The sequence below is a fragment of the Homo sapiens genome, chromosome 15, assembly GCF_000001405.40.
Source record: "Homo sapiens chromosome 15, GRCh38.p14 Primary Assembly".
NCBI lineage: Eukaryota > Metazoa > Chordata > Mammalia > Primates > Hominidae > Homo > Homo sapiens.
In genome coordinates, this window is record NC_000015.10 from 23,369,843 (window position 1) to 23,380,173 (window position 10,331).

The window sequence follows — 10,331 nt, forward strand, 5'->3', positions numbered from 1 at the left end:
AATCCGCCCTCCTCAGCCTCCCAAAGTGCTGGGATTACAGGGGTGAGCCACTGCTCCTGGCTAAGATCCCATCTCTATTTAAATAAAAAAAGAAAATTCAGAGCATGTGGAATACAGAACACCAAAGTCCAAAGTTATTTACCTCTCTGAGGTAATCTGTGTAAACAATTTGAAATATATCTTTTCAAGTTCATACTTGCTATGCATATACATACATATACACACATACGTTGACATAGTTCCCCTTCCCTGCTGTCATGCTATTAGAGTCTTCTTTTTTTGGTAGAAATTGGACCAACTCTATGTTCTTTGCTGGCCCATATTTCTCCTATTCAGTGATGTGTTACGAATGTGTGTTTAAGTCAATGTATGCAACTCTTCAATATCATTTTAAAAGGTTAAATATACAATCATATGAAGGCATTACAATTTATTCCAACAGTTCCATTTTGCACATTTAATAATTTCCGTTGGTTTGCCAGGGAGAACATTCTCATGCCATGGCTAAATCCTTTTGTACGGCCATCCTTAATTATTCCCTGAAGATAAACTTTTAAATAAAGTTGCTAGATGAGTCTCATTTCTTAAAAAGTTCTTTTTTGGTAGTTTATATGTAACACTGTAGTTTTATATGTACTTGCAAATAGCTATAGTGCCAGTAAAAAATGTGATAAAATTAAACTCTTTCACGTATGCCAAAAATATTTTGATTTAGTGCTTCATTAAGTGCATGATTACAGTCCCTGTATCTTTTGATTTACCTTTCTACATTTACAATTTTCAGCCCAGATACTTAGAGGTCACATAGTAAATTAAGGTTTTCTTTTTTTTAATAATCTCCGTCTTTCTAAATTTGGTGAGTCACAGTAAGTTATTTTTGGGTTGTTGAAAGCTGTGGCTCTGTTCTAAATATGAGCCCAGAAATCATGCCACTTACAAAATATGCTTTGTCTTCCAACAACAGAGAGTCTGGTAGAAGGTGACTGTTCTTGGAACTTAAAAAGTCTCAACAGGACAAGAACAGAATCTGGAAAATATTTCTGTTTCTGATAATACGGCTGAGTAGGTAGACATGCTGGATACTCCTTGCAAAGGCATACTTGAAATTGCCACACCAAAAAAAATCCAGAATCTCTAAGACTGAAGATGAAGTGAAAATCAGAAGGGCTACTACAAGAATAATGGGGAAGCAGCCCCAGTTATCAAGTGACGTGTGCATGTGTTCAATAAAAAGTTCCAAACCTAAAATAAGTTGAGAAAAATAATGTAATTGCCCTACATATACACATCATCAACAATTTTTCATTCATGGTATGGACAGTTTTTTGGTTTTTGTTTTTTTGTTTTTTTTTTTTTAAAAGGTGGGATTTTGCTGTGGTTGCCCAGGCTGGAGTGCAGTGGCATGATCTTGCCTCACTGCAACTTCCGCCTCCCAGGTTCAAGCGACTCTCCTGCCTCAGCCTCCCAAGTAGCTCAGATTACAGGCACCCAGCACCACATCCGGCTAACTGTTGTATTTTTAGTAGAGATGGTGTTTCACCACGTTGGTCAGGCTGGTCTTGAACTCCTGACCTCAGGTGATCCACCTGCCTTGGTCTCCCATAGTGCTGGGATTACAGGTGTAAGCCACCACACCTGGCCACAGCCAGTTTTGTTTGATTTATATTCCCACTTCATTTGTATACATTCCTTCTTCCTCTTATTTTGAAGTAAAACCTATACATCATATCATTTTTTAATTACCTTATATGTATCTGTAGAAGACAAGGAATTTTTAAAAACAAATATATTCACAATGCCATTAAATACCAAAAAAATTAATATTCTGAAAATAGCCACAAATCCAGAGTTCACATTTTCTTGACTTTCTCATAAGTGATTTTTTCTAGGTTATCTAATTCAATCAGGTAACTGTTTGCTCATATTTACATTCCCACTTGAAAAATGTCTAAACTTAAACTGACATAAAACGCAGATGATCTTCCGACCAAATGCTTAGTGTAAAAAAAAAAACTTCCAACTCCAAGAGGAGTCCCTCCAAATACAGAAAGGACCAGTATTTTAAGAGGTATGTTAACTAAAATGTGGCAATTTAAGGAGCAGAGCAGGAAGAACCTTTAAGTCCGAAACTTACAACAAGTCAATTTCATAGTCCGTTTCCCTGGTCCTTCCACAGCAACCTCTGGCATCTGTTTTCTCTACAACGGAGGTAAAAATAGTAGCTGTTTCATTAGAGCAGTGCTAGAAGAGGGTGGTGGCTATATAAAGTTTAGCTATTTGTATATTGTAACAAACCAACTTTTTTTTTGTTTTGGTCAATAATAGACTTCTTTTGGAAAAGTAGCAGCCTCCTGTCTGGGGACACCTGCAGTTCCACTAAGAGAACATTGGTGTCTGCTAACCTTTGCCTCTATTTCTCTCAATAATATACTGTCAAGCTGTTCCTTGATTTAGCAATTTTATGTACTTCCTTTTCCTTTCTTTTTTCTTTTCCCTTTTCCTGAGACAGAGTCCCACTTTGTCACCCAGTCTGGACTGCAGCAGCGCCATGATGGCTCACTGCCACCTCCCCCCGGGCTCAAGCAATCCTCCTGCATCAGTTTTCAGAGCAGCTGGGATTACCCGCGGGGCCCACCAGGCCCAGCTAATCTTTGTGGGTTTTGTTGTGTTTTTCCGTTAAGAGACTGGGTTTCCGGCCAGGCGCAGTGACTCACGCCTGCAATCCCAAAACACCGGGAGGCCGAGGCCCGCGGATCACCGGAGGTGAGGAGCTGGAGACCAGCCCGACCAACATGGAGAAACCCCGTCTCTACCAAAATAAATAAATAAAAAAGTAGCTGGGCATGGTGGCTCACGCCTGCAATCCCAGCCACTCAGGAGGGTGAAGCAGGAGAATCACCCAAACCTGGGAGGCGGAGGCCCGGGGAGCCGAGACCACGCCACTGTACTCCAGCCTGGACAACAAGAGGGAAACTCTGCCTCAAAAAACAAAAAACAAAAAACAGGTTTCACCATGTTGCCCAGGCTGGTCTGGATCTCCTAGGATCAAGCGATTCGCAGCACTCAGCCGTCCAAAGTCCTGGGATCACAAGCGTGAGCCATGACGCCAGGCCGATCTATTCCTGTCTGATTAAAAATTGGGCCGGGCGCGGTGGCTCACGCCTGCGATCCCAGCACCCCGGGAGGCCGAGGCGGGCGGAAAGCCTGAGGTCAGATTGAGGCCAGCCTGAGCAACATGGAGAAAACCCCATCTCTACCAAAAAAAAACAAAATACAAAAGTAGCCGGGCCTGGTGGCTCACGCCTGCAATCCCAGCCACTCAGGAGGCTGAGGCAGAAGAACCACCCAAACCCGTGTGGTCGAGGCTGCGGGGGGCCGAGATCCTGCCACTGCACTCCAGCCTGGGCAACAAGAGTGAAACTCCCTCTCAGAAAAAAAAAAAAAAAGAGGTAGAGAGACTGAGTTTCACCATGTTGCCCAGGCCGGCGTGTAACTCCTAGGCTCAAGCGATCCGCCGCGCTCGGCCATCCGAAGTCCTGGGATCACAAGCGTGAGCCGCCACGCCAGGCCAATCTCTTCTTTTCTGATTAATAAATTGGGCCTGGCGCGGTGACTCACTCCTGCAATCCCAGCACCCCGGGAGGCCGAGGCGAGCGGATCACCTGAGGTCGGGAGTTTGAGACCAGCCTGACCAACATGGAGAAAACTGTCTCTACCGAAAAAGAAAAAAAATAAAAAGCTGGGCATGGTGGCTCATGCCTGCAATGCCAGCACCCCGGGAGGCCGAGGCGGGCGGGTAACCTGAGGTCAGGAGTTTGAGACTACCCTGACGAAGGGAGAAACCCCCCGTCTGTAGCAAAAAAAAAAAAAAAAAGTACAAAATTAGCCAGGTATGGTGGCTCATGCCTGCAATCTCAGCCACTCGGGAGGCTGAGGCAGGGGAGTCACCCAAACCCGGGAGGCGGAGGCCGCAGGGAGCTGAGACCGCGCCACTGCACTCCAGCCTGGGCAACAAGAGTGAAACTTCACCTCAAACAAACAAACAAAAACAAAACAAAAAAGCGAGACCGGGTTTCATCATGTGGCCCAGGCCTGTCTGGAACTCCTAGGCTCAAGCGATCCCCCGCGCTATTCCTTTGTGATTAATAAATTAGGCCTTGCGCGCTGGCTCAAGCCTGCAATCCCAGCACCTCCAGACGCCGAGGCGGGCAGATAATCTGAGCTCGGGAGTTTGACACCAGCCTTATGAACATGGAGAAACCCCATCTCCAACAACAAAAACAAACAAAAAACAAAATGAGCTGGGCATGGTGGCTCACGCGTGCAATCCCAGCCACTCGGGAGGCTGTGACAGGAGAACCACCCAAACCCGGGAGGCGGAGGCCCGTTGAGCCAAGACCTCACCACTGCACTCCAGCCTGGGCAACAAGAGTGAAACTCCGCCTCAAAAAAAAAAAAAAAAAAAAGAGAGACCGAGTTTCACCATGTTGCCCAGGCCTGTCTGGATCTCCTAGGCTCAAATGATCCCCAGTGCTCTGCCATCCAAAGTCCCTGAATCACAAGCATGAGCCATCATGCCAGGCCGATCTGTTCCTCTCTGATTAATAAATTAGGCGGGGCGCGCTGGCTCACACCTGCAATCCTGTAGCGGAATTTTTAAGGAATTAGATAGACTCACGGGGTTTAGGAGGACATTTATTAATTATTTAGGTGCACCGGCCCAGTCGGATTAACATTTAAAGGATTGAGTACTGAACCAAGAGTTACCTTTCAAGCATTATGTAGGGCGAAGGGGGAGATCTGTGCAGGGAGAAGCATATTATAGAAGCGAGAAACAAAGATAGTTATTTAATTGAAACATGCATTTTTTTTTTTACTATTTAAGGAAAAATATGTTTTGTGACTTGAGTTTATTTGTTTAGGCACCTAGATTTATTTTGTTTATGGAGATAATAGTAGGTACCTCATAGGGGATTATTAGATCACGCTTAAAATTGGACCATACTTAATACTTTAACTGGGGCTTTAACCATCATCATTTACATCATCCATATCCCATTATCTTTCCTTTTGGCAGAAAGGCATATAGTGAAATCTATGCAAATTAAATGAACATATGGGAAACTCTTTTTTGCAGAAGGTGTTGTGGGGCTCCCTCTACATGACCTGAAAAGTACCTATATGGCTGTAAGACACTTTACATATCACCTAGTTTATACCCTGGCATGCCCATATGACCTACTAAATCATACAAACACACCAGGTTCTAATATACAGTAATATTCATTTTTTAACTTTTCAATTAACATATAATCCTAAATTGCATGCTTTATGTTGAAGAAAAAAACAGCAACTAATATACCATCATAGTGACATATTAAATGCTAGTTTAGCCTGATTCTCCCAGTGTAACAATGTATTTAAAATTTTGTAGATATATTCAGTATATGTTTCAACATGTCTTTGGGCCATATGTATTTTGTGCTAAAGTTTCTCTTTATAAAAAAGCAAAGCAGGAGATGAGAGTTTTATGGTGGGAAATGAATTCAATTATTATATTCTAAGGGAGATTAAAGAGAAAAATAAATTTTCCTGTTAATTCTGTGACCAACAAAAGTAAGCAATATAGCTGAGAAATTCATCTGAGCTCACAGTTGATTATATATATATAATAATTTTTTTTTCTCTAACAGAGCCACAACCAATGAGACAATTATAGTTTCACCAAGTCAAATGTCAGCTAGAGGACTTACAGTTTTTACACTTGGCAAGGCAAAGCAAAGAAATGTGAAGAATCCTCATTTACTTGTTAGCCAAACTTAGTGTCAAAAAAAAAAATATTCATCATTGGTTGTCAAACACAGGGTAGTTCTCTGTCACTGGAAACTTCTGCAGACAGGATAATTACTATGATTAAATGGCAGTGGATTTAAAATATTTCGGTAGTGGTTAAAGTAACTTGAATACTGATGGTATAATATCAAATCAAAGCTGCAAAACTGTCCGCTAATTATCCAGAGTATAAAGTATCTGATGCTGTGTAAGTATAACGCCAAAGCACATTCACAGGTACAGAAATTGATGAGGGCTTAATCATGCTTTTTGGAAATATAGTAAAGAAGATAATGTTTTTTCTACCTTAAAAAATAAATTTTAGACCATGTCCTTCAAGCTATACAGTTTGTATTATTGACAATTGGCTCTGATTATATAATTTACTCTAGCCATTGCTTTCAATTTATTTATCTATATTTCTGATTATTCCTCTAACACAAAGATACTGAGGGCTTTCTCTGTGTTAGGCAACAGCTGCAAAGCTAACTCTTGGAATACAGAGATGTGAAACAATGCTAGCATGGCTCAGAAATAGTTTATTGCCTCATGAAATTTTTAGCTTAGTCCTATTCCCATAAACATTTCTATGTGAGTGGTGGGGACTGGGGGGGCACCTCACTCTCCTCCAGGGACAGGCCATGTCCTAAGCAGTAGTTTGAAGGTATCACTTTGGAGAATTTAGGTCTGGAGACTCTGTAGAAATCAGTGAGGTTTCAAAGCATCATTATTACATTGCAAAGTCACATGGGCAGGAGTAGATAAGAAGTAATATGTTGTATTTCCTCTTTTGTAGTGTGAGTTAGTTGATCTAAATGTTCACTGTGTTTTCTCTATCTTTGAATTATGTGTAACAACGTAGATAGCAAAGAGCTGTCAAGAGGCCATGAGATTTCAAATAAACAGTTAAGAGCATACTCCAGGAAACTGTAAAAGAACTAATTAGAGTCCACGTGTTCAGTGTCAGTTCAAAGACACAGAGAGATAGGTGCTCAACAGATGGAATATGTTAGAACCCGTAAAAATGACCAAGATGGGATGGCACAAAATCAGCAGAGCTATAATCAATAACCAATGAATTGGGACTCTCTTCTGTCTTTTCCACTGTATTTGGGTCTTCGTAGGTTATTCAATCATGTTTGAAGTGATGAAAAACCATTATTCATTCTCAAGGCAAAAGAACTAGATATGCTTTTGGGAAAAAGAGGATAACGGAAGGTTTTTAAACTTTTACAATGGGCCATTCTACATGCAGTGTACAAATCATCTAAAATTCATTTTTCCCCTAGAAAGACAGATCTTAAACCAGCTAGAAGTTATAAATAATGTGGTTCATCAGAGCTGTATACTCTTAAATTCAGATTTTCTGAGTCCATCCCACATTATCCTAGTTCCACAAGATAACTGCAAAAATGTCTCATTGCCAAATACATTCAACAGTGAACTATATAGTTGCCTCCAAGAAATTCATTGCACATTGGTCTGTTCATTGCATTAAGAAACCTTGCAGTTAAAAACAAACAAAAAATGTACTTAGTATGTTTTAAAATATAGCATCTCCAATATTATTTAAAACTTACTTTCCTTGTTGTTTCTCTGAATATTTCTCAAAAGAACTATTGGAAAATATTGCTTAACATGATTGATCTTCCATTTGATTGACCTGCGTTTACGCCCATGCCTATTTTGTGCAGGTGATCAATTCATTTGTGAAGAGTGCTTTCATAATTATGCATTGAAATGCACAAGGTTGTCATCCCTCAAAAATGCTACTATTATCACCCATAATTAAGTCTACCAAATTTACACTAGAAAACAAACACAAAGAGAACAGTGGGTAGTTGTTAGATCATTTAGCAATCAGAGGTAAAAATTAGTAGCAGAAACAAAATTATTGTCATTTCTCAAATTATTTTCAAAGACAATGTTGCCTTATTACTAATATTTGATTGGGAACATTTACAACCATTAATCTAGAAAAGAAATTCTTCTACTGCAATGCACCTCCTCTATTTACGTGTGTGAATGAGTGTCCATTTTCTTAAAGTTCCAAGTTACTTATTCATTCATTAGGTAATCTTTTTTCACATGGAACGAAATTTTTGTGGTAATTTATGATAGTTGAAAAAAAGATTTGGGGTGATTATAACCCTATTTAGATATTTCTGCCTGCATCTACATCATATCAAAAAAAGTAGGGCCTCCTCTCCCTTCCCTGAATTAACTATTGGAGGGGGCCAGGCATGGTAGCTCACAATTATAGTACCACCACTCTGGGAAGCTGAAGCAGGAGGATGGCTTGAGCCCAGGAGTTTAAGACCAGCCTGGGCAATATAGTGAAACCTTTTCTCTACCAAAAAAAAAAAAATTTTTTTTTAAATATTAGCTGCACGGGCCTGTAGTCCCAGGTACTTAGGAGGCTGAATCGGGAGGATCGCTTGAACCCTGGAGTTTTGACTGCAGTGAGCTATGATCCCATCACTGCACTCCAACGTGGGGGACACAGCAAGACCTTGTCTTAAGAAAAAAAAGAAAGAAAAAGTATTGGAGAAGTTTTTAATCTGTAGCATCCTTAGTCTTCAAATTTCATACCTTTATTACCACTGTCATGTTTCATGTGCTCAACAAATGTTAAAATAATGAATCTCAGCATGATTTCTAGAGATCGTACTGAGCAGGATTTAGAGGGGCAGGGGGGTTTCCCCACTTGTATTCCTGTCCTTCATATCTGTCTCTTCTGGATTTTTTAGTTTATTACTTTTCAGGGACAAGCTTTTCGTTTTTCTCCTCTAGATCAGCATAATCTGAAAAATATTAAAATTAAAATAACTAATAATAGACTGCATTAATAGATTAGTTCCTTGTACAGCTTTCATCGTTTTAAGTGAAAACTTTCTATAAGTTATTTAGGGTTTTGAATTTATAATACTGTAATTAAAATAAGGGTTTTTTCCTCCCACTGACAGTAAAGCTGTCACTGCCACAAGATTTGAGCTAAAAGAAAATCGTAGATTTTGTACTTCTTTGTCAGCGCTGCCAAAAAAAAAAAAAAGAGAGAGAGAGAGAAAGAGACATCTTGACAACTTTTAATTCAATCAGAGAACTTGAGTGAATCGAGCTTTCTTCTGAAGCACCATTCATCGAGCAAGACCCCTGACGGTGCCAGGTGGAAACTTAATGGATCCTTTCCACCTGGTTTGTTTTCAGTGTTTAATCCTATTAGTATCAGCAGGATGTAAGTCAGGGTATCAGGTGCAGAACCTGTGGAATCAGCCAATTTGGCTTGCTCGTTTACTTTAATAAGGTCCCATAATGAGTGAGAGTACAAAGTTCAAGCCCTGTTGAGGGTCTGCATTAAACTCTCAGAAGTATTTAGAGTGTGCCAGGAGCCGCGAGGGTCTGGTTCGGGTGGTGGCGGGAACTGTGTTAGAGCGCTAGGTACGGCGCGACAAAGTCTGTCCAACCCAAAACGGTGCTGAGGCATGGGGTCTGAGCTCCGGTACTCAGAAAAGCACCTCAGCCGGTACTCAACAGATCCTCGGGGGCTTGGGGGCTCAGCATTGGCAGTGAGGGCATGAAAGATATAAAAGACAGGGCACTACCTGTGGGTATTTTCTGTTCTCCAAGGAGGAAGTAGCAAAAATTAGGATGCTGGAATATCCTGTGTTGTAGCAATCCCAGAACAACTGGTGCTCAGCAAATACCACACAAAACAAATTTTTAAAAATTTAATCTCGCCGGCTACAGTGGCTCACGCCTATAATCCCAGCACTTCTGGAGGGCGAGGCGGGCAGATTACCTGAGGTCAAGAGTCCAAGACCAGCCTGGCCAACATGGCAAAACCCCGTCTCTACTAAAAATGCAAAAATTAGCCTGGCATGGTGGTGCACACCTGTAATCCCAGCTACTCGGGAGGCTGAGGCAGGAGAATCACTTGAACCAGGGAGGCGGAGGTTGCAGTAAGCTGAGATCATGCCATTGCACTACAGCCTGGGTTACAAGAGCGAAACTCCGTCTGAAAAAATAAAAATGTGATCTCTTTGTATCTGTTCTTTTTCTTTTAATTTTTTTCTTGACCCAAGCATGTGAACTCATAGTATACATTTTGATATCGAAGATACACTAAGAATTAAGTACTAGACCCAATCCCAGATAACAAAAAGTGACATAAATAGTGGAAGAAAGGACTATTTATTGGGTTTATACTATTAGACAGCGTGCTAGGAACATCCTTTATTGTCTTGTCTAGACCTTTTAAACATGCAGTAAGATGCAGATACTCTTTCCCAGTTGTACAGAGGAAACTGAGGCTTAGAGTTGCAGACTTAAAAGTATCTAACTGACATGTGGGAGGATGGGAAACTCATCCAGACTTTAGAGGAAATGAAGGATTCATTACACAGGTGAGTGTTTCTTGCAGCTGTTCTAGATCAGAAACAATTACCAATCTAGACTTTCATGTGATAAAGTCATTCGATAGAAATCCAAGCGGGCTGGGC

The 10,331-nt window shown here is 40.9% G+C and overlaps 1 annotated feature.

Moving 5' to 3' along the window:
• Nucleotides 3,148-3,647: an enhancer, noted in NCBI's record as "H3K4me1 hESC enhancer chr15:23618137-23618636 (GRCh37/hg19 assembly coordinates)". NCBI's record gives its function as "activates a minimal SCP1, AML or CMV promoter by ChIP-STARR-seq in naive H9 embryonic stem cells {active_cell/tissue: H9 hESC(naive)}" and the evidence as "EXISTENCE:reporter gene assay evidence [ECO:0000049][PMID:30033119]".